This window comes from Homo sapiens, chromosome 22 (genome assembly GCF_000001405.40).
Source record: "Homo sapiens chromosome 22, GRCh38.p14 Primary Assembly".
NCBI lineage: Eukaryota > Metazoa > Chordata > Mammalia > Primates > Hominidae > Homo > Homo sapiens.
In genome coordinates, this window is record NC_000022.11 from 24,422,253 (window position 1) to 24,443,560 (window position 21,308).

At 58.3% G+C, this 21,308-nt stretch overlaps 1 protein-coding gene and 2 long non-coding RNA genes across 10 annotated transcripts in view, besides 11 other annotated features; 2 read left to right on the forward strand and 1 right to left on the reverse strand.

Moving 5' to 3' along the window:
* Positions 1–20,108, forward strand: part of SPECC1L-ADORA2A (SPECC1L-ADORA2A readthrough (NMD candidate)) — a 171,544-nt gene extending 151,436 nt beyond the window's left edge. The window contains 2 exon segments of the long non-coding RNA NR_103546.1: positions 10,879–11,484; positions 18,331–20,108. This is a non-coding gene — a long non-coding RNA (SPECC1L-ADORA2A readthrough (NMD candidate)).
* Positions 1,335–1,654: a silencer, noted in NCBI's record as "silent region_13548". NCBI's record gives its function as "represses an Ori minimal core promoter by ATAC-STARR-seq in GM12878 lymphoblastoid cells {active_cell/tissue: GM12878}" and the evidence as "EXISTENCE:reporter gene assay evidence [ECO:0000049][PMID:35858748]".
* ADORA2A (adenosine A2a receptor) lies at positions 1,345–20,105 on the forward strand. Of its 7 annotated transcripts, NM_001278497.2 has the most exons (4): positions 9,996–10,116; positions 10,369–10,474; positions 10,879–11,484; positions 18,331–20,105. In NM_001278497.2, the coding sequence occupies exons 3-4, from the start codon at positions 11,153–11,155 to the stop codon at positions 19,235–19,237; spliced, it is 1,239 nt and encodes a 412-aa protein (NP_001265426.1). In that variant the 5' UTR covers positions 9,996–10,116; positions 10,369–10,474; positions 10,879–11,152; the 3' UTR covers positions 19,238–20,105. The 7 variants fall into 7 exon arrangements, 5 of the variants coding, with proteins under 5 accessions (NP_001265429.1, NP_000666.2, NP_001265428.1 ...); NM_001278500.2 differs by lacking the exons at positions 9,996–10,116; positions 10,369–10,474 and adding an exon at positions 1,345–1,376; NM_000675.6 differs by lacking the exons at positions 9,996–10,116; positions 10,369–10,474 and adding an exon at positions 5,347–5,494.
* Positions 1,665–2,104: a silencer, noted in NCBI's record as "silent region_13549". NCBI's record gives its function as "represses an Ori minimal core promoter by ATAC-STARR-seq in GM12878 lymphoblastoid cells {active_cell/tissue: GM12878}" and the evidence as "EXISTENCE:reporter gene assay evidence [ECO:0000049][PMID:35858748]".
* Positions 2,064–2,715: an enhancer, noted in NCBI's record as "H3K27ac-H3K4me1 hESC enhancer chr22:24820284-24820935 (GRCh37/hg19 assembly coordinates)". NCBI's record gives its function as "activates a minimal SCP1, AML or CMV promoter by ChIP-STARR-seq in naive H9 embryonic stem cells {active_cell/tissue: H9 hESC(naive)}" and the evidence as "EXISTENCE:reporter gene assay evidence [ECO:0000049][PMID:30033119]".
* Positions 2,716–3,366: an enhancer, noted in NCBI's record as "H3K27ac-H3K4me1 hESC enhancer chr22:24820936-24821586 (GRCh37/hg19 assembly coordinates)". NCBI's record gives its function as "activates a minimal SCP1, AML or CMV promoter by ChIP-STARR-seq in naive H9 embryonic stem cells {active_cell/tissue: H9 hESC(naive)}" and the evidence as "EXISTENCE:reporter gene assay evidence [ECO:0000049][PMID:30033119]".
* Positions 5,428–5,537: a silencer, noted in NCBI's record as "silent region_13550". NCBI's record gives its function as "represses an Ori minimal core promoter by ATAC-STARR-seq in GM12878 lymphoblastoid cells {active_cell/tissue: GM12878}" and the evidence as "EXISTENCE:reporter gene assay evidence [ECO:0000049][PMID:35858748]".
* Positions 6,954–21,308, reverse strand: part of ADORA2A-AS1 (ADORA2A antisense RNA 1) — a 65,869-nt gene continuing 51,514 nt past the window's right edge. Inside the window, exons 4-7 of one of the 2 annotated variants that reach the window (NR_028484.3) lie at positions 19,740–19,888; positions 10,010–10,182; positions 8,645–9,310; positions 6,954–8,112 (exon numbers count right to left, since the gene is read on the reverse strand). This is a non-coding gene — a long non-coding RNA (ADORA2A antisense RNA 1). Of the gene's footprint in view, positions 8,113–8,644; positions 9,311–10,009; positions 10,183–16,024; positions 16,507–17,041; positions 17,316–19,739; positions 19,889–21,308 lie in introns of those variants that run through there. The other variant, NR_028483.2, reaches the window with a different exon arrangement.
* Positions 6,974–7,133: an enhancer, noted in NCBI's record as "active region_18770". NCBI's record gives its function as "activates an Ori minimal core promoter by ATAC-STARR-seq in GM12878 lymphoblastoid cells {active_cell/tissue: GM12878}" and the evidence as "EXISTENCE:reporter gene assay evidence [ECO:0000049][PMID:35858748]".
* Positions 7,208–8,169: an enhancer, noted in NCBI's record as "H3K4me1 hESC enhancer chr22:24825428-24826389 (GRCh37/hg19 assembly coordinates)". NCBI's record gives its function as "activates a minimal SCP1, AML or CMV promoter by ChIP-STARR-seq in naive H9 embryonic stem cells {active_cell/tissue: H9 hESC(naive)}" and the evidence as "EXISTENCE:reporter gene assay evidence [ECO:0000049][PMID:30033119]".
* Positions 11,145–11,694: an enhancer, noted in NCBI's record as "H3K4me1 hESC enhancer chr22:24829365-24829914 (GRCh37/hg19 assembly coordinates)". NCBI's record gives its function as "activates a minimal SCP1, AML or CMV promoter by ChIP-STARR-seq in primed H9 embryonic stem cells {active_cell/tissue: H9 hESC(primed)}" and the evidence as "EXISTENCE:reporter gene assay evidence [ECO:0000049][PMID:30033119]".
* Positions 12,115–12,244: an enhancer, noted in NCBI's record as "active region_18771". NCBI's record gives its function as "activates an Ori minimal core promoter by ATAC-STARR-seq in GM12878 lymphoblastoid cells {active_cell/tissue: GM12878}" and the evidence as "EXISTENCE:reporter gene assay evidence [ECO:0000049][PMID:35858748]".
* Positions 12,823–13,323: an enhancer, noted in NCBI's record as "H3K4me1 hESC enhancer chr22:24831043-24831543 (GRCh37/hg19 assembly coordinates)". NCBI's record gives its function as "activates a minimal SCP1, AML or CMV promoter by ChIP-STARR-seq in primed H9 embryonic stem cells {active_cell/tissue: H9 hESC(primed)}" and the evidence as "EXISTENCE:reporter gene assay evidence [ECO:0000049][PMID:30033119]".
* Positions 15,418–15,497: a silencer, noted in NCBI's record as "silent region_13551". NCBI's record gives its function as "represses an Ori minimal core promoter by ATAC-STARR-seq in GM12878 lymphoblastoid cells {active_cell/tissue: GM12878}" and the evidence as "EXISTENCE:reporter gene assay evidence [ECO:0000049][PMID:35858748]".

Consider the following 21,308-nt stretch of genomic DNA (forward strand, 5'->3'; position numbering starts at 1 on the left):
GGCCACCAATGCCCCGGCTGTCTGACATAGCCTGTCCTGTCGTGAACAGTTGGGATTAGTCCACATCCCTCCAGATGCAAGGGTAGAAGGCGGGTCCCCTTGGACAGCTTGGAGGGCTGGACATGAAGTTGTTCCCAGTTGGAAGTCTCCAGAAAATAGGCGAGTGGGGCGGGGGGATGGGGGGGGAATTCCCAGCCTCAGGCTCTAAAATTCCCAGTTAGTCTGTGGTGCAGACAGGACTCCCTGCCTCCTTGTTCAGGGAAGTAGGGGAGGATCAAGGCCACACTGGGCACCAGGAGCTGGAAGAACAAGAGGGTCTCTGGCCCAGAGTCTGGGATGGGGAGAGGCAGAGGGGGCATTGGAAATTGGGGACACATCTTTGAACTGAGATAACAGCTGTTGCCAAGACCAGCACCTGGGCCAGGCTAAGGAAGGGCAGGGCTAAAGGTGGGGGAGCTAAGGGTCAGGCAGGGCCTTGAACGCCGTGTTCAGGAGGCTGGCCTTTATCCCTCAGGACCTGGGGAGCCATGGAAAGATCTGAGGAGCAGGCATTGGGCACAGCTGGACACTGGGGAACGGGTGACACAGGGGCATGGATCCAGCCCAACTCTGATAAGGAACAGCAGAGTTCCACAGGACCATAGTGGCAGAGGCAGCAGTGAGGACTTCTTTTTTATTTATTTGTTTGTTTGAGACAGAGTCTAGCTCTGTCCCCCAGGCTGCAGTGCAGTGGCGTGATCTCAGCTCACTGCAACCTCCGCCTCCCGGGTTCAAGCGATTCTCCTGCCTCAGCCTCCCGAGTAGCTGGGACTACAGGCGCATGCCACCACGCCCGGCTAAATTTTGTACTTTTTTAGTAGAGACAGGGTTTTACCTTGTTAGCCAGGATGGTCTCAATCTCCTGACCTCGTGGTCCGCCCACCTCCGCCTCCCAAAGTGCTGGGATTACAGGCGTGAGCCACCGCGCCCGGCCGGCAATGGGGGCTTCTTAAAAAAGAGGGAGGCTGGGCCCGGTGGTTCACGCCTGTAATCCCAGCACTTTGGGAGGCCGAGGCGGGCGGATCACGAGGTCAGGAGTTCGAGACCAGCCTGACCAACATGGTGAAACACCGTCTCTACTAAAAAATACAAAAGTTAGCCGGGCGTGGTGGCGGGCGCCTGTAATCCCAGCTACTCGGGAGGCTGAGGCAGGAGAATCGCTTGAACCCGGGAGGTGGAGGTTGCAGTGAGCCGAGATCGCGCCACTGCACTCCAGCCTGGGCGAAAGACCAAGAGTCCGTCTCAAAAAAAGAAAAGAGGGAGTGTGGGGGTGGGGCCCGGAGCGCTCCAAGGGGCGGGGAAGGGGACTCCCAGGCCCGAGGACTCCTGGAAGGGAGGTGAGTGTGGCGCTGAGGAAGCGGCGGGACGGATGCGAGCCCGGGAGGAGCGCGCTGGGGGGCCGCAGGCGGGGGATGTGGCGCGGTCCAGGCCCGTCGCGGCCTCGTCCTGACAGGGACACCTGCGGGATCGTCCTTCCAGGATCGCCTGCGGGCCTCGCGGGCCGATGCCTCGGGTCCCCCTCCGGCCTCGGTTTCTCCGCGCAGCGGGGCGGGGCGGGGGCAGCGCGGGTCTCAAAGCTGCCTGCAGGGGGCGCCCGTGAGCGGCGCGGCCGGAGCCGGAGACCCAGCGGCCGCCGAGACAGCGGGAGCCGGCGTGCGAGCGGCAGGTCAGCCGGGGTGCTAGGTCTGGCGTGCGGGGTCCTGGGTGCCGGGTCCGGGGTGCGGGGTGCCGGGGGTCCGGGGCTGGTGGCCGGGCGGCGTGGGGCCGTCGGGGGTGCGGGGCCGGGAGGACTGGGAGGCTGGGGTTCTGCTCCCCTCAGGGTTCCTTTCCCGCCGCCCCGAGACCAGTTCCCCGGCGCGGGGTCCGAGTCCTGCCCCGCGGCGGCTGCCGGCACTGCCTGTGAAGGGCCCAGGCACAGTCACGTCCCAGGCGCAGTTGCGGCGCCGCGTGCGGGACCCTCCGAGCTGTCCCAAACTGCACCGGAAGGCGCGCAGGGGTAGGCGGGGAGGGAAGGCAAGTGCGGCGGCCGGCGCGGCGCGGGGTGCGGAGCCGCAGGTAGCGGGCGGGGAGCGTCCGTCCGTCAGTCCGTCCGTCCGTCCATGCGCCGCAGACCGGCCCCGCGCGCTCGCATGAACCTTCGCGAGCTCCTCCAGCAGGGATGGACCGGGGGCGCAGAGGCGCTTCCTGAGGGGTGGCGGGCCGGGCCCCGGGGCGAGGGAGATTCCCCAGGTGGAGGAGCCGGGCGGAGACCGGTTCCCCGGGAAGGTGAGGCGCGGGCAGAGATACCCGAGCGCCCGGGACGCGCCGAGAAAGGGGGAATCAGGAACGCTGGGCCGAGCGCTGGCGTCTTCCGTGGACAGTGGTGGCGGGAACTGGGTTTGGGGGACCCAGGAGACGACGGGGGACGGATGGGGGTGGGTGCGCGCCTCGGACTGGCCCCGGCCGTCTGTCTGGCTGCCCGGAGCGGAGGTAGGAATGGCGGGAATGGTGGCGGCTCTCGAGGGATTTGGCGCAAGGCGGCCCAAGGGCTTGAGGAGGAGGCCGCGGGCCGGCAGAGCTGAGGTCCCTGTGTCCCGCACTCAGACTTTAGTTGCCCCGACTGTACCATGGGAGGAAGAGGGAGACCCAGGGCTGGGTCCTAGGCTGGGGGAGTCGGGGCCCTGCAAAGACGCGCAGGTGTTTGTGGCCCTTGTTGGAGGGTGAGCCGCAGGTCAAGCCAGCCCTCCGTCGCCATCCTGAAGCACCTCCTCTCTTGGGCTCTGCCACACACAGGGCCTTCTCCCCTATTGCCAGGTGCTCAGGCCGCCTCCACCCTGCCTCTGCTGCCGGCTCCCCCTGGGTTCCCCGGCGGGGCACCCTGCCGATACTCCATGACGCGCCAGGGCTGCCCCAGGGTGCCCCAGCCCTGGGGACCATGGTGGAGGGTTCTGTGGAGCACCGCGGGCCTGGGAAGCTGTTGCGGGGTCGGGGCTTCCTCACTGGCCCTGCTTTGGCCGTTCCTGGAGGCCTTGGGTGGGGCTGGGAAGGCCGGGCCCTGTGGGCAGCACCCCCCCCCCCCCCGCCCAACATCCCGGCAGATCCATGGCAGGGGCGCCTCACAGGCTGGTCCACGGCCACGGTGTCAGTCCCTCCTTGTTCTGCGCTTGCTTTTTGGGGTCTCCCAGCCTCTCCCTAGTCCTAGAGTTTCTCAGGCAAATCCCAGCCACTACCCCTCCATCCGTGTCCCCTGTTTCCCCAGTGCTGAGCTGGCTGAGCTGTGAGCTTTCCTGCTCCTTGCCTCAGGAAGCCAGGGGCAGCCCAGTCACCTCTGGCCAGAGGCGGGCCTTAGGCCAAGGCTGACCTGGCTGGTCTGAGAGCTGTGCTGGGCTTCTTCCCATATCAGTCTGTGAATTACAGATCCCCAAATATGCCCTGCGTCGCGATGGAGGAGGGCAATCAATGGCAATGACTGCCTCATGGGCAACGCGATGTGCTGGAGATTTCAGTGCTCTCGTCTGGGTTCTGGTCTTGCCTCCTCGACCCACTCGCTGAGCAGGTTGCTGTCCCGGGGAATCTGATATCTCATCTGTAGAACAAGGATGATGATCTTAGCAATGCCTAATGTGGAAAGGCCTTGGCTTGGGAGCAAGTGGGGGAAGGTTTAGGGCAGACCAGAGGGCCGGTGAGGGGTGTGTGCTGGAGCGGGGAACCCGGGAGGGAGGGTGTTAGGCTTGAGGGTCAGGGGACACCACAGGGATTGCTGTTGGCAGAGGGACATATGAATGGTAGTTGGCCTGGGAGCCAGCATGTGACTTGAGAGCATCACGTCCTGCAAAGTCCAGGTGAGGCCTGGGCAGTGCCTGCTGTGTGGGACCACAGCCCCTGGTGGCTCTCAGCTGTGTCCTGACACTCCAAAGAAGGTCTTAGTACCCTCTCACAGACCTAATACCCGAGCCACCTAACCCCAAATGAGCTAGAACTGCCTTCCCAACCGTGTTTGCGGGGTCTGTCTTGTCTATTGCAGCGCAAACAGAGCCCTGAGCACGCAGGAGAGCAGAGGAAGGACAGACAGAAGATGGATGGATGGATGAAGGCGGGAAGCACAGGCTGAGGGGATTTAGGGCATGTGTGGTGGGGGTGCTGTGGAGAGGAGACTGCACAGGCAGGAGCTGAGCTGGTGAATGGGAGGGTTCTAGCTCCCAGAAGGGTCTGGGCCATTGACAGGAGGGGCTTGGTCCTAGGAGGTGGGTGGTCCAGAGGTTGCAAGGAGCAGAGGAGCCCAGATGGGGAAGGGAATGGAGCTGGGGTGCAGAGAGGAGCCCCCACACAACTGCCCACATCCTGTGCAGAACCTGGGGCTCTGGGTGGTGGGAAGAGGCAGTTTCATGGCGGAGGAGGCCTGGGCCCCTGCAGCCTGGACTCCATGGATCTGGCCAGGGACTGGGGAGGATCAGGTGGAGAGAGGAGCAGCAGAGCAGCTGCCCCTCGTCCCAGCACAGGGGATGATGGGAGCCCAGGGAAGGCAGGACCCTGGCTTCGGGCATTTTCTCTGCTAGAATCTCTCGATACCTCTCTCCCTTCACCTTCTCCTCCAAGTCTCACCCAGATGATGTTTCTGTGAGTTGCCATGGGGATTCTCTCACCACCCCCCGCCAACACCCCGCAGGGGAAGCTTGTTCCAGGAGTCACTGGGCAGGGGCTGCTGCTGCTCTTCTGTGCCCACTCCTCGGATGTGCCGCTGCAGCCCTGGTCTCTGGCATCGGCCGTCACCTGGTGGAGAGGCTGCCGGAGCTGGCCAAGCAGAGGGAGGCCGATGGTGCCACTTGGTGTCTCCTCTGGCATCTGGGCAGGAGACTTCTCCCCAGAGGCCCCGGGCTGGTCTGCCCGTGTCACAGGAGGACTCGCCTCTGGTCCCTCAGTGGCCTCTGCAAACCCTGAGCCAGCCTGGGGGAGGCTGCTCAGTGGGGAAGAAGCAGTGGCCAGGCTCTGCTTGGTCACCCTGCCCTCCTGTCAGCCTCCGGGGCTGCCTCGTCGCACCTGCCCAGGGACCCAACAGCCGGTCCTCACCCCTCCCATCCTCATTGCAGCCACCCTGGGGCATTGTGAGGCCCTGCACCCAGCACTGCCCCTTCAAGCCTCCCACAGGGTCCCGCCCAGGACTCCTGGGCTCTGTGTCCGCGGGGCCATCTAGAAACACTCCCTTGTCCCCCCTTCAGCGGCATAGTACCTGTTGCCCGCCATCTGAGGGAGGTGCAGGTGCCAATCCTTCACGTGACGTGACGTGGCTCACCACAGCCTGTGTACATGTGAGCAGCCGCGTGCAGAGGGGAAGCTCTGCCTGGGCCTCAGGGACTGTGACATGGAGCAGGAGCCGCCCCCAGCCAAGCTGCTTTCAGCACAGCGTGGGCCCCCAGCACCTTGGTGCGGGGTGCGGCCCCTCGGAGGAGGGCTGTCAGGTGAAGCCTCGTGTGAGGGGGTGAGTGGCCCCCAGGCGGGGAGGAGGGGGTGCTGTGGCCTTCCTGGCCCCTAGCCTGGACACATGGGGGTGTGGGGAGCAGGAGCTGGGGCCCCCAGCACTGGCCCCGGGGCTGCGATGTGGGGGCTGCTCTGTGAGGCAGGCTCAGAGCCTTAGCCTCCAGCTGCAGGGAGCTGGGTCTTGGCCCCATCTTGCCCACATCCTGCCACCAGGAGCAGAGAGCTGCAGCTGCACCCGGGCTGTGGGGGAGGGATGCCAGGTGTATCTCTGGGTCCCGGGCCCAGCCTGCACCCAGCGCCTGAAGTAAGGGCCACCGGGCAGCCCCGGAGGTCAGGAGGGAAGTGGAGCCCGTGCTGGGTGGCTGCTTACCACTGGGCAGTGAGGAAGGCACCTGCGCTGATGAGTTTGGAAGGGGTATGGGGATCCTGGGGCCCTGGGTTCTGGGAGGTTCATGCCCAGGCCCCCCTGGGCCATCCCAAAAGCCAGTCATAGTGGGGCCCACAACCTGCCGTGCCCTGCCGAGCTCCCGCAAGCCACTTGTTGATGCTTCTCAGTCCACCCCATGCCTCTCAACCGTTTCCTCCTAGACTAGGTCTCTTCATGGCGTTTCTGGGAGAATTCCTCAGTACTAGCTTCAGATCCCCAGTCGTCTCTTCCACTGTACGTGTGCCTGAAGCTCACCACATCCCTTACTTCAGTCCTTCTATTTTTCAGTCCCTGGATTTTGTATTATTTCTTGTTCATATCCACCTGTCCTTGTTTCATTTCCGCCAGTCGGTTCAGAAGTTCTCATTCTTGTCTACGGATGCCATTCCTTTCTTTGCCTCTTTGGAGATTCTAAAGGTCTCTGAAATCATTATTAGATTACTGTATTACCTTCCTTCCTACTGGAATGAATTCACCTCCATGTTTTTTATTCTGTTGCTTACCTTTCTTAGCCTTCATATACCTCTTGCGCTTTGAAATTGATTTGCGACTCCTCTTAGCTGAGCCAATGTTGTGGAGACAGGGAGTGGCCTGCAGTGCCTGAAACTGCAGGGCAGCAGCCGCCTCCCAGGAATGTCCTGGGTCCTTTCCTCCTTTGAGGTCCCCTGCCATATGCTCAGATGGGGCCAGGCACAGCAACGGGGGCACACCTCCCTTTGGCCCAGCAGTTGGGGTGCTGCCAGGCCTGGTGGAGGTACTTGGTAAACATTTGTTATGGAAAAGCAGCAGGAGGGTTCTAAGGCTGGGATTCTGGAGCCCAGGAACAGGCCAGGCATGGCTGGAGCGGGTCCGAGTCCGTGCACTGTGTCCTGTATGTTGCTCTTAGCCGCACTCAGGAGCAGATGTGCAGGTCACTGCCTAGAAGCTGGTGGGCACCTCCGTGCAGCAGGCTCTGGGGGGTATAGCCACCATCTGGGCATGTGTACAGAGGGCCTTGCTAGTGCGACATATGAGGAACCAGAAGATGTGTGGGTTTTGATTAAATGGAGTTTTAATTAAAGTGGCCAGGTTGGGGGAGGTGAGGAGGAAGGCAGGAAGCAGCAGCAGTTTTGAGTCTGACCGCGTGGAATCCTATAAGGTGGTTCTTTCAAGAGGCATTATGCACATTCCGCAGCATGTGTCCCCTGTCTGTATGGGGCAGCATCTGCCCTCTGATCTGTCCCCAACAAGGGGTAATCACAGAGAAGTATTACATTATTAATATTTAATTTCCCCTCCTGGTTAGCAACAGATGACTCAAGGAGTAATTAGATGCACAGAGCCAACAGAGAGGGATAGGAAATTGCCAGATCCTGGCCCCGCCCCCTCCCCGGGGCCTCTGACCTTCCTGTCACTCTGGGAGGCTTCTGAGGGAGGGGAGCTGGAGGCCCAGGAGCCTTCCTGCTGCTGTGCTCTCTGTGCGCACGGCCGCAGCCCTACACCACCTTCCAGTGCTCTTGGTGAGGCTGAGAGAGGTCGCTTCGTGCCTTTGGGCCTCAGTTTCCTCATCTGTAAAATGGGCTTCCTGGGACCAGCAAGATCACAGATGACAGTCATTTCCCAAGCTCCTAAGCAGGCTGCACAAGCTGTGTCTGAGGGTCCAGTGCAGTGCCTGGCCTCTAGGCAGGTGCCCCCTGGGACGCGTAAGGTTTGGCAGCTCAGCAGTGACTGGCATCGTGGCCAGCTGACTCTGTGTTGCTCCCCAGTTACGGTCCACGACACATTAGTAGCTTGAAACTGGGCACAAGGGGAGAATTTACACCACAGAAATCAGGCAAAGCCTGTAAGTCAGGGTGCCCCCGGCCAGGAGCTGATTTGCCAGCCTACGGCTGGGTAGCTCCCAACCTTTCCCCAATGAATGCACTCCTCTTCCCCTGTCTGCCCCAAAGGTGCCTCTGACTCCACTGATCTGCTTTGCTCAGGGCCGAGAAAGGCACAGCTGAGAGTGGATTCTGGCTTGGCAGGGGCCCAGGTTGCCTGTGGGTCCGGGCAAGCCTCACCCGGGATGTGCTGGCAGCAGCTGGGAGAGCCTGCAGGAGTGCTTAAGGAGGGGCTGAGGGAGAGGACGGGCAGCGAGGTGGCCTGTGTGGACCCTGCTGGCAGGAGCCGTGGGTGTCTTTAGCCCCGTGTGAGGCCGGCCTGGGCAGAGGGGTCTGTTGCTGTCACTGAGGCTGGTGGGCAGCAGGAAGGTGGCTTCAGTATAGTCAAGAAGGTTATCGGTATCTAGTGCTGTTTAGCATGGGGACCCACAGCACAGAAGGTGGGGAGACCCTGAGAACGGGGGTACACAGGCAGGTACCCAGGGCTGCCAGGGAAGCCTTGCCAAACAGAGGCCCTGGTCAGGCTTCTCCCAAACTGGGCATCCCAGCTGGCATGGCACCAGTCCAGCCCGTGAGGCAGGCGCCGATGATTTGACCCCACCAGCAGGGCTCTGGGTGATGGGACTGGGGAGTCCTCCTTCACTTTGGCAGACGTGTTATGTTCCACCTTGTTTGCCCCCAGCAAGGCCCTTGAATCTGGAGCGTGGTCTGGGGCTGCATCAGCCTTCTAGCCTGGGATGGTCAGATTGGCAGAAGGCTGTGGCATCCTTCAATGCAGATGCCCTAGAGAGGGCCGTGGTGGGAGGCAGGATCCCTGGGTAGAGGCGGCTCCTCAGTGGCCCACTGGGCCTCACTGGACAGTCGCCTGTTGCTGCTGCTGGTGGTGCTGGGCCTGGGAGTCCACCTTGGAGCCACAGGCCAGGCACCTGGGTGGGAGGCAGCCCGGGGCCAGCACCAGCTCCACTTGTACCTGTTGGGCAGGGGCTATCGTGAGTCAGGTGGGCCCTGGTGAGTACTGCTCAGGGAGAGAGGCCAAGAGCATCAGGGATAACTGTGTTCCTTGAGTGTGGCCAGGGATGGTGCCAGGAGAGCTGGTCTGGTGCATCCCTGCCAACGACACACTTTGTGAATGGCTGCCTGGCAAGTGCTCCATGGAAAGCAGGGGCTTGGGAGGACTCGGCCCTCTCCAGCTGCTGCAGGCCCTCCGTTGCTGCAGGGTTTCTGGCTCTGCTCTCTCCTTCCTCCTCCTGCTTCTGTGTCAATGCTCCATTCCCAGGCTCCTAGTAGGGGCAAAAGGGCCTGCTGGGTGCAGGAGAACCTCCAGTCCCAGGTATGGCTGCAGCCCGTGCCAATCCTGTTCCAGCCACTTGAGGTGCCGACAGCATTGGAGTTGGAGGGAAAGTTGGGGTCTGTGTGTTTGAGCTCTGTCACATGGACAATGGGGTAGAGGGGAGCCTGGCCCTTTGAACAGGGCTCAGGACCAGGAGTGACTTCCTCTCCAGGTTGCCAGTCCTGCTCCATCCCTCATGTCCTGGAAGAGAGAGAGAGACGAGGTGGCTGCCCGAGTCCACGTGAAAGGCAGCCTCTGACCTCTTGTCCCCAGGCAGGTGGTGGCGGCTGGCAACACACTCATAGGGCCCCATGAGGGTTCAGGATTGGAGGGGGTAGATTTGGGGGCCTCTTAGCTCTCAAAGAGGGGCAATTTAACGGGCAGAGGTCCATTTGGATCCAGACCATTCACAGGCTCGAAGGGGACACTGGGAGTTGGGGCTGGGCTCAGGCCTGCTGGGGAACCAAAACTTCTGCTTCTGAGGGGTGTCAGTAATTCCATTTTGACTCTGGGGGAGCCATTTTAAATCTGTTTATTTCCTTCTCATAGAATCATGGGTGAGAGCTGGCATGGCCCCTAGAGGTCATTTGGGGTCCAGCTGCCTCACCGTATCAATGAGGAAACTGAGGCCCAGAAAAGAAAAGCATTTTTGCCCAGAGTCCCTCAGTGAGTCCTGGTTCCGTACCTGCTTTCTGCCAGGGACCAAACTCCCGTTAGTCATTCCTGGTGTCAGCCAGGCAGAGGAGCAGGTGGGGGAGAGGGCGTGGGAGGAGGGAGGTGAGGCAGCTCCCTCCGAGTGGAAGCTCACAGTCAGCTGCAGCGCCGCCCCTGCCCTGACTGCAGCTGACTGGCAGGGGCACCTGGAGGCAGCGGGTTCGGGCGCAGTATGAGAGGGCTTACCCTCTGCGGCAGTGGGAGACAGGACCAGGCAGCTCCCCACATCCTTCCACATCCGAGCTCCAGGGGTCTCTGGCTTGTCCTTTCACAGGGCGGCTGGTGTCCCTTAGGTGGGTGCTGGTAGTTCCTGGGAGAGTTGACGGGATGGAGCAGGCCAGGGGGGCTGAGAAGTTGGCCTGGCGAGAGAAGGTGGGTGGGACTGGGAGAGCCTGGGCAGGGAGGGGCCTTTCTGGGAGGGAGTGTCATGGGGCTGGCCGAGATCCAGGACCCAGGAGACTGGCCAAGCTGCCACAGGAGGCCTGAGAGGCTGAGCATGGGGGGGCCAACACTGACAGACTTTAACAAGTTTCTGGCTCCCCCAGGAAAAAAACAGACCACATCTGATCCTTGGCCCTGAGTCCAGAGTGGGAGGCACCGTGACAACAATGCGCAGAGCAGGGAATGCAGGGAGCCATGGATAGTGCTGGGGTGAGCTGGAGTCCTGGCAGGGGCCCAGCTAGGGCAGTACTCATTCTGCAGAGCCTGGGAGAAGGGGCTGCCTCCTTGGGAGGGGTTTGTGTGGGAGTCTCAGCGGGAATTCTATTGGACCAGGGGAACCAGCCTTGCTCAGTGACTTCTCTGGGTGTCCTCCTCTAAAGTGAGGGTCAAATTCCCACCTCTCTCGCCTCCTGGCTATGACCACAGCAGACCAGGCAGGGCATGGGGCTAGGCGGGGTCAGGGGCCATCCTCAGGCTGACACCTGGCCTGTGGGTAGGGTGGGATCTGAAACTATAGGGTCTTCAGGGGGCCAAGTGTGGGGTAAGGGGTGGCACTTTCCGCAGGGCTCGCCCTCTGCAGATGGTTCAGCTTCTCATCGGCTGTCCCTTTGCAGGTGCCTCAGGAACCCTGAAGCTGGGCTGAGCCATGATGCTGCTGCCAGAACCCCTGCAGAGGGCCTGGTTTCAGGAGACTCAGAGTCCTCTGTGAAAAAGCCCTTGGAGAGCGCCCCAGCAGGGCTGCACTTGGCTCCTGTGAGGAAGGGGCTCAGGGGTCTGGGCCCCTCCGCCTGGGCCGGGCTGGGAGCCAGGCGGGCGGCTGGGCTGCAGCAATGGACCGTGAGCTGGCCCAGCCCGCGTCCGTGCTGAGCCTGCCTGTCGTCTGTGGCCATGCCCATCATGGGCTCCTCGGTGTACATCACGGTGGAGCTGGCCATTGCTGTGCTGGCCATCCTGGGCAATGTGCTGGTGTGCTGGGCCGTGTGGCTCAACAGCAACCTGCAGAACGTCACCAACTACTTTGTGGTGTCACTGGCGGCGGCCGACATCGCAGTGGGTGTGCTCGCCATCCCCTTTGCCATCACCATCAGCACCGGGTTCTGCGCTGCCTGCCACGGCTGCCTCTTCATTGCCTGCTTCGTCCTGGTCCTCACGCAGAGCTCCATCTTCAGTCTCCTGGCCATCGCCATTGACCGCTACATTGCCATCCGCATCCCGCTCCGGTGAGCAGGGCCGGGGTTACATCTGTGCAAAGGCTGTTGGTGCCCAGGCTTTGGTCTGTGCCCGGAGCCAGGGTGAGCCTGGGATCAGGGCCTGGTCTGCAGTGTCAGCATGGTGAGCTGGCGACGGGGCCCCAGGCTCAGCAGGGGCTCCCCAGGGCCAGCACGTGGCCAGCAGTCATGCCGAACTGACTGACCCCTATGGGCGCAGGGCAGCCTGGCCCTCCCAGGCGGCCTGGGTTCCCCTAGGCTGCCTGAGGCCAACTGTGCTCTGCTTTTTGGCAGATGAGTGTGGCCAGGGTCTGGCATTGGGCTTAGCAGGGAGCTGTGGTCCCAGTGACCCACGTGCTGCCAGCGGGTGTGTCTGGGCCATTCCTCACACACAAGCAAAACTTCCCGGATGATGCTGGGGTGGAGTGGGGAGCCAGGGGAAACCATAGGACCTCAGAGTTAGGAGCCGCCCGCCACCTGCCTTCCCCCAGATCCTCTGGGCCAGCCTTGCAGTGTGCACATTAGGAAAATGACCCAGAGAGGGGAAGTGACTTGGTTGAATGCCACAGTGAGTCACTTGGACCTATATGCAAATTCTGTTGCTCCTCAAGTCACCAAGGACTCATCGTCTTAGAGGCAGCCAGTGTGCTCAGGGGCTGGCTGTTGGAGGGGATTTTTATGGTGAATCTTTTGTGAAGTGACTTCAGCCAAGTAATTGTGCAAATGAAGATTTTCCCAGAGGCTGAATTACTCGGCATGGATTCCACCTACCCAGGCCATAGATGAGGCTAGAAAGTGCATCCCTCCCTTGGGGACGTCAGAGGCCTTCTGCCCCACCTCCTGGCCCCTCTGCCACAGAGCTGGGTTCCACAGCCTGGGTGGTTGTGGGCCCTGAGGCCATGTATGAGGCTTGAGGTGGTGCCTCTTGAGAGTCAGGGAGCAGGGTGCACCATCTCTGCGGTGAATTATCTGAAACTGGTGGGTGCCTATCTAAAGAGGAAGCCACAGCAGGTTGAGGGTGCCCCAGCAGGAAGGAGGACCCAGCTAGATGAGCAAATGGAAATTTAGAGCGTCAAAGCCAAGGGGCCCTTAGAGGTCATTTCCTCTCATCTTCGGGATGGAAAATGAGCCTCAGAGAAGACAGCCAGCTGTTTCCGGGCCACACAACGAGTTGGTAGTGGAGCTGGGGCGAGTCCTGGAAAGAAATGTGGCCTGATCCCCACTGTGACTTCAGTCACTGGGGAGCGGTCATGAGCAGCCTGTCTCGCAGAGCCTGCACCAGGTGGCTGTCCCTGTCACCTGGGCTCTAAGTGGGAGCAGGAGCTGCACTGGGCTGCTCCAGGGAAGGGGAGGAATCTGGACCTCACACTGCCCTGTCAGATGCTCTCTATCCCAGGAGAGTCTAGAACCCTCGGCAAAGGAGAAGGGGACCCTGGCCAGCCCTGAGAGGGGTGGAATTAGGGATTGTCGGACTCCAAGTGCAGTCTCTGGTGAGCCTCCATCCATTGCTCTGCGACGGGCAGAGCAGAGTTTAGGTTCGTCCAGTGGCAGCTCAGAACACGGAGGCCCAGGAGGGGCCCTGTCTGCAGGTGCCCAGGTGGGCCAGAGAACAAAGCACTGGAGGGGACTTCAGGGAACCAAGCTGAGTCTGCACACTGATGGGATGCTCTATGGGGAAGCAGAGGCCAAGCTCTCACTTTTTTCTCTGATTCAAAGGGTATGATCAGGGCTGCCGTTCTCAATTTAAAGGAGCTCGACTTTTTTTCTCTTTTGTCTCTCCCTTTCCTTCTCTGTTTTCTGAGAGTTGAGAGAATGACTCCCTATGTAGTAGGACAGGATGTGCTGTGTGGCTATGGAAAGTTAGCTGCCTCTCTCTGGGCCCATTTCCTCATCCATAAAATAGGACAAGTCTCTCTGCCCCTCTGAGCTCACAAAGGTGTTCTGAAGGTCCAGTGAGTGGATGGGGTGACAGGGACCCTGAGGAGGGTTGGAGGCGTGGGGAGGGTGGGGATTCAGATCTTTGGGTTCAGAGCCATGGACCTGCCCCCTATCCTCTACCCATCTCATCCCAACTTCCTTGGAGCTGGACCTTAGTTCCACCCAGACCTTGAGCCATTTGACTCTGCTCCATGAGGCTCTGCAAGGCTTAGGCTGGTCTCTTCTGCAGGGGGCCCTGGAGAGGATGACGACGATGATGTTCATCCTCCCTTGAGGGCAGAGAGCTTTGCAGTTGCCAAAGGATGTCAGCTCAGCATCTCCTGTCATCCTCTTGGCCTGCATTGTGGCCAGGCGGATGTTCTGACCCTCCTGTTACTCACAAACTCATGGGGAGGCCAGAGCAGGGAAGGACATACGAGTGTCTCCTGATGTGGATGGACTCCAGGGCCCTTCAGGCTGTTCCTGGCCCGCAGGTCCCTTCGCTTTCCTGTTCCTCAGGGCCCCTGGGCCTCTGGGCATGTGGAGGTGTCCATGTGGGCTCCCGAGAGCAAGCGGGGTATGAAAGGAACTTGGTGACACTCCTGGCCGGCGCTGGAGTCACAGCCTGCCTCAGGATCCTCCCTCCTCCTTTCTCAGCTGGGAATCCAGCCTCCTCTACGTGCCGTTTCCTGCTCCACTCAGAAAGGTCCATTCGGCTAGCCCTGGGTCTAGCCTCAGGCCTGCCCCACTCTCCATTAACTTTTTTTTTAAAAAAAAGAACTCAGTTTTGGAAAAATCTGTTATTTTCCAAGTTCAGGGAACCTGTTGGGCTAGCACAGGGCCTAGTCGAGGAACTCTGTGAGAAAGACTTCAGGCCAGAGGCAGAGATGTAGCTCTCTGTGTTCCCAGAGGATAGGGAATTCAGGGTGAGAGACACAGGCTTCTTTTTCCAGTTCCCAGGGGATTTTTGCCTCACTGTCCCCTCCCTGGCTCTCACAGCAGCCCTTGGTGGATGTTCTCGCTGGTTTGAGGAACAGGCCAAGGTGCAGGTGGCAGCTGGTGGTGAGGCCCGAAGTCCTAACACTTCTAAGAGGGCAGGATTGGGAGAGAGGGCTCCCTGGAGGAGGTGTCACCCAGTGGGTCTTGCAGGACGGGCAGGCAGGGTCTCACTGGCATGAGTGTGGGGGCAGGTGTGTCAGGAGGGGGGCAAAGCCTGGGACAAGACCCTGAGGAAGGAATGAGCATGTGAGCACTGGGTAGGGAAGGGTGGCCTGGCTGCCTAGTGACAGAGAGAGATGAACAGAGTGGGCAGGAAAGGTGGAGGCCAAGTCAGGCCTGTTCGTACCAGGGGAAGGAATGGAGGTTTCCCTGTGGGTCCATGGCTCTTCAATTCTTGGATCAATGACTCCTTTGGACAACTTAGGAAGGCTCCACCTACTCCTCAGGTTGGGACATGTGCACATAAAGCCCCAGCTGGAATCATGGGGCATATTCTTGGACCATAGGGTGAGCCCCCAGTGTGGGTAATGGAGATCCCCAGAAAGGGGCAGCCTGCAAGCCGGGGGACACAGAGCTGCAGAGGGCACCTCCACAAAGGGTGGGCAGCAGCTCTGGGACCCACATTCTCTGACATGCCTGGGCACCCCAGAGTGGTGGTGTGTCACGCTAGACAGCCTTGGCATCCCTTCCAGCTGGATGGTCAATGTTTGGGGTCTAAGACGGCAAGATGTGAGTGTGTTGGTCACAGATGCAGCCCAGGATATGCTGCTGGGCCTGGCTGAGGCTCAGCTGTGATTCCATTTGGGCCCTGATGCTGTCCCCACCCCGTGGGCACCAGGGTCCAGGGCTCTCAGCCTATGGAGATTTCTTTTGAATAAACTTAGTCTATTTGCAATTTAAGAAAAAAAAAAGTCATGTTTTGCCCACTCTAAAACATTAAAAAGGAACAAAAGAGTATAGTATAGTAGAAAGTTGTCCTCCATACCCCCTGTCCCCCACCCTCAGTTCCCTGCCTGCAAGGCCATGTTAAGAATCCTTCCAGAGATATTCTTTGCATATATAAGCAAGTGCTATTAATGTATGTTTTGTTTCTGTCCCCACACGGGACTTTCTTTGCAGAGTACGGTGGAAGACTCCCCTTGTGGGTTCCCTTTTCTGTACAAGTCAACAATTGGACAGACCAGGGATTTCCATACTGTGTTCCCAGAAGCCTTCGGGTTGGCTCTGGTGTCCCCACCAATTCACTGATTCAATAAACATTTAATAAGCCCCTTCCCTTCCCCAGCAGCTTCACCTCTGTGACTGCCTGGGAATGTGGGCGACAAGGTTTGCTGCTGAGAACAGTTTGAAAACCAGCAAAGCAGGTGGCCCAGGGCCCAGGCAGCTCTGCAACACCCCTGTGGCTGCTTGGCTCTGCTCTGTTGCCTCAAATGACAGGAAACTCACTATTGCCTGAGGCAGGCCATCTCTCCTGTGAACAGCTCAGCTGAAAAACTCTTAACCTACCCTGAGTTACAATCTGCCTCCCTATAATTTCCACCCACTGATTCTCCATTCTGCCCTTAGAGGGCAGAGTGCTGACAGGTCCACGACTTGGTCCCATTTTACAAATGAAGAAACTGAGGCTCAGAGAGACAAAGTTTTAAAACATTCCTGTTAACAGGGCCAGAACCCAGGAAGGGATATGCTTTTCTCAGGAATAATGTCAAAATTAATATAGCTTCCCAGTCAATGAGGACTATATAAATTACTATTTGCAAAGCACTAAGAACAGTGTCCGGCACAGAGTCAGTGCTATGTAATGTAGATGTGAGAATGAGAGAGCCTGAGATTTTATGTTTGCGAGTCCCACAGGAGGCAGGGCAATGCCAACTCCCTGTTGCTTGGAAGCAATGGGCAAGTCTATGACCCTCCTGTTGAGGCCCTGTTACAGGTAACCAAGCCCCCACGGAATGGAGCTGAGGAGCTCCTGAGAATGGGCTTGTCCGGTTACTGTTTGGATTCAGAACTGACCTAAGAGATTCAGAACAGACAGACTCGCCTTGGCCTGAGTTGCCTCTGGGCTCTTGGAATGTCCACAGCAAGTCCATTCCTCTCCTTGGGCCTCAATTTACCCACCTGTAAAACAAGAGGATTGGACCACATAAGAGATCGGAAGCCACCAGGGTTTCTCTTTTTCTCTTTTATTTGAATTAGTTGACAAAACTTAAATCTTGGGAGATTTTACCCAGAAAATCATCTCCCCAGCCCCACCTGAGATCTGGTAATAGCAGGCGTACGTTTTGCATGGCGCTGAAGACCAGGTAAACGCCCCACCAGCTGCCTCCTGTGTGTGCTACCTATAGGCGCCTGTTTGCTACCCGTGAATGAGATGGTTTCTGTGGATGTTCCCAGCTCCGCAGTTAAGTAGAGCACATCCTTCCCCTTGCACCTTTTTTTTTTTTTTTTTTTTTTTTTTTTTGGAGACTGAGTCTTGCTCTGTCTCCCAGGCTGGAGTGCAGTGGCGCGATCTTGGCTCACTGCAAGCTCTGCCTCCTGGGTTCACACCATTCTCCTGCCTGTCTCCCAAGTAGCTGGGATTACAGGCCCCCGCCACCACGGCCGGCTAGTTTTTTTTATTTTTAGTAGAGACAAGGTTTCTCCATCTCCTGACCTCGTGATCCGCCTGCCTCGGCCTCCCAAAGTGCTGGGATTACAGGTGTGAGCCACTGCGCCCGGCCTCCTTGCACCTTCTGAGTGTCCCTGTCTCGGAGCTGGCAATGCAGAGATGGATGTAGGAAAGCCCTGCCCCCGAGGGGCCCAGATGTGGTGGGGATCTGCTGCACTTCGGTAGGAAACTTCTTTGAGATCTCTATCCTGGACTTGAAGGATGGGTAGGGTTTCTGCCAGGTAGAGGGGAGTGTAGTCTGGTCTTGCCAGAATCAAAACTGTTAAACAGAAGTCATCCCTCAGTGATCATCAAGGTTGCCTTCCTAAATTAGGGAGACTTTTTTTTTTTATTGTCCATTCTTTCATGAAATCTAGGCCACCTTTCCTACAGGGCTGAGGTCTGCTTACTGGCTGGCAGATCCAGCCATTTCCCGAGTATGAGACTGGGAGTCGGTAGGCTTGGATTTCTGTCTGGCTCTCACTCAGGAAGACTGAGTGATTTCGGGCAGATTACTGTCCCCCTGGACCTCAGTATTTCCTTGCAAATGTTAAGATGGCCATGTAAATGTTAACAAGTAATTCTCTCATTTCTCTCCAGAGGGCTGTGGGTGGGTTTGGAGGGGAGAAATGGCATCTCCTTTGGCCTGGGACCTCCTCCCCTCTTTTACCCTCCATGCTGCCTCTCCTCAAGGGCTTCTGGAGTCCCCAAGTCAAATGGCAAATGGGGAAGAGAAGACAGGGTATGGAGTACAAGAGGCCTAGATCCTCTATAGGTCTGATCTGGCTGGTGCTGCCCCTAGCCAGTAAAGCCACCCTCCAGACCCCTTCAAGCCTGTTGTAGCCTTAACCAAGATCAACCAACATGGAGGTGACTGATCTTGGTTAAGGCTGCGACCAACATGGAGGTAATTGATCTTGGTTAAGGCTACGACACGTTTCCCTTTAGAGAAAAATCATGTTTTCCCCCTCAAAAAATCATGCGTTAATTTCCTCCAACCAAACTAAGTCCCAGGACTACTCCGAAAACTACTCAATGACCATCTGGGCATTTGTACATGGGTTTCCATTTCTTGGATGCCTGCTCTCCTGTTACCTCCCAGAAGCCTGTGAAAAAGGCAAGGCATATTACTTCCACTTAACGGAAGAGGATGCTGGGGCGAGGTGGCAGGAAATGACTGGTCCAAGACCTTACAGTCAGGAAATGTGGAAACGGGTGCTGCTCTGGGGTTCTGAACTCTTGGCCCTGCTTAACCCTGGCTTCTCAGATCTCTGATGCTGGTCTCTTCTCCCCAGGTACAATGGCTTGGTGACCGGCACGAGGGCTAAGGGCATCATTGCCATCTGCTGGGTGCTGTCGTTTGCCATCGGCCTGACTCCCATGCTAGGTTGGAACAACTGCGGTCAGCCAAAGGAGGGCAAGAACCACTCCCAGGGCTGCGGGGAGGGCCAAGTGGCCTGTCTCTTTGAGGATGTGGTCCCCATGAACTACATGGTGTACTTCAACTTCTTTGCCTGTGTGCTGGTGCCCCTGCTGCTCATGCTGGGTGTCTATTTGCGGATCTTCCTGGCGGCGCGACGACAGCTGAAGCAGATGGAGAGCCAGCCTCTGCCGGGGGAGCGGGCACGGTCCACACTGCAGAAGGAGGTCCATGCTGCCAAGTCACTGGCCATCATTGTGGGGCTCTTTGCCCTCTGCTGGCTGCCCCTACACATCATCAACTGCTTCACTTTCTTCTGCCCCGACTGCAGCCACGCCCCTCTCTGGCTCATGTACCTGGCCATCGTCCTCTCCCACACCAATTCGGTTGTGAATCCCTTCATCTACGCCTACCGTATCCGCGAGTTCCGCCAGACCTTCCGCAAGATCATTCGCAGCCACGTCCTGAGGCAGCAAGAACCTTTCAAGGCAGCTGGCACCAGTGCCCGGGTCTTGGCAGCTCATGGCAGTGACGGAGAGCAGGTCAGCCTCCGTCTCAACGGCCACCCGCCAGGAGTGTGGGCCAACGGCAGTGCTCCCCACCCTGAGCGGAGGCCCAATGGCTATGCCCTGGGGCTGGTGAGTGGAGGGAGTGCCCAAGAGTCCCAGGGGAACACGGGCCTCCCAGACGTGGAGCTCCTTAGCCATGAGCTCAAGGGAGTGTGCCCAGAGCCCCCTGGCCTAGATGACCCCCTGGCCCAGGATGGAGCAGGAGTGTCCTGATGATTCATGGAGTTTGCCCCTTCCTAAGGGAAGGAGATCTTTATCTTTCTGGTTGGCTTGACCAGTCACGTTGGGAGAAGAGAGAGAGTGCCAGGAGACCCTGAGGGCAGCCGGTTCCTACTTTGGACTGAGAGAAGGGAGCCCCAGGCTGGAGCAGCATGAGGCCCAGCAAGAAGGGCTTGGGTTCTGAGGAAGCAGATGTTTCATGCTGTGAGGCCTTGCACCAGGTGGGGGCCACAGCACCAGCAGCATCTTTGCTGGGCAGGGCCCAGCCCTCCACTGCAGAAGCATCTGGAAGCACCACCTTGTCTCCACAGAGCAGCTTGGGCACAGCAGACTGGCCTGGCCCTGAGACTGGGGAGTGGCTCCAACAGCCTCCTGCCACCCACACACCACTCTCCCTAGACTCTCCTAGGGTTCAGGAGCTGCTGGGCCCAGAGGTGACATTTGACTTTTTTCCAGGAAAAATGTAAGTGTGAGGAAACCCTTTTTATTTTATTACCTTTCACTCTCTGGCTGCTGGGTCTGCCGTCGGTCCTGCTGCTAACCTGGCACCAGAGCCTCTGCCCGGGGAGCCTCAGGCAGTCCTCTCCTGCTGTCACAGCTGCCATCCACTTCTCAGTCCCAGGGCCATCTCTTGGAGTGACAAAGCTGGGATCAAGGACAGGGAGTTGTAACAGAGCAGTGCCAGAGCATGGGCCCAGGTCCCAGGGGAGAGGTTGGGGCTGGCAGGCCACTGGCATGTGCTGAGTAGCGCAGAGCTACCCAGTGAGAGGCCTTGTCTAACTGCCTTTCCTTCTAAAGGGAATGTTTTTTTCTGAGATAAAATAAAAACGAGCCACATCGTGTTTTAAGCTTGTCCAAATGAGAATGGCGTCTGAGTTCGTTTCCTACTCCATAGCTAGGCCTGTGCACACATACAGGCATGTGTTGTGTATGAGAGAGTGTGTGCGTATGTGCAGACACCCTGCCTGCCCCGGGGGCCCTCCCCAGGGTCCTGTCCTCGAGGGGACAGGCTGCCTGGCTGCACCACAATCCAACCTGCATTTCTATGAGGGCCCACAGGGGCTATGGGAGAAGGGGCTTTCCCCAGCAACTCCCCCCCTCCTTATCTTCCTACATCTTTAAGGGAAGATCTCTTTGTATGTTACCTTCTCAGAACTGTGACCCGCCACCTGCCCTGCTGCACCCTTTAGCAGAGGTCACAGAGGTATCCGCAAACAGATCTGGGCAGGGGCTACACGGCCTTCCCCTAGAATCCCCCTCCTTCTGTTCTTAACAAAAGAAACCCAGAAGGAAGGGGTGTTTTTGCTCTGACCCCGGCCTTAGGGGCCTCCTGCCTGAGGAGGTGGTGCCATCTTTCTGTGATGGCGAAGTTTGAGGCCTGGAAGGCAGTTAGCAACCTGCCCCTGCCTGAGGTTGGTGGAGAGCTGTGATTGTCCCGGTTTGGTCTCACTCACTCTGGGACTCCCGGAAGGAGTGTAAGAATGTCAAGGGTAATCCTCACACAGCCCTGTGAGCCCTGTTTTACAGATGATTAACAAGCCCAGAGAGGTTACATGATTGCTCCAGGTCACACAGCTAGTAAGTGGCAGAAGTGAACTTAAAACTCAGGTCTGTCTGACTGTAAAATCCATGTTCATTGTTTCCATTAACTTAATGATGAACTATTTGAACCGAACCAAAAAGTACAAAATAACATCATTTCCTCAGCACTCTGCTTAAGAACTGAAACATTACAATGTTGCATCTGACCCCTGCCCATCATTACCCTGCATCCTAGGCCTGGAAACAACCACTTTCCTGAATTTCATTTCTTTCCATTGCACTTCTTCTTCTTCTTTTTTTTTTTTTCTTTGAGACGGTTTTCTTTTCTCGCTCTGTTGCCCAGGCTGGAGTGCAGAGCAGTGGCACGATCTTGGCTCACTGCAACCTCCGCCTCCCAGGTTCAAGTGAATCTCCTGCCTCATCCTCCCGAGTAGCTGGGACTACAGGCACTTGCCACCATGCCTGGCTAATTTTTTCTGTGTTTTTAGTAGAGATGGGGTTCCACCATGTTAGCCAGGCTGGT

Coding starts and splice junctions, on each gene's coding strand:
- ADORA2A (NM_001278500.2), top strand. CDS start 11,153: ATGCCCATCATGGGCTCCTCGGTGTACATCACGGTGGAGCTGGCCATT. Junction 11,485..18,330: donor GCCATCCGCATCCCGCTCCG/GTGAGCAGGGCC, acceptor TCTTCTCCCCAG/GTACAATGGCTTGGTGACCG.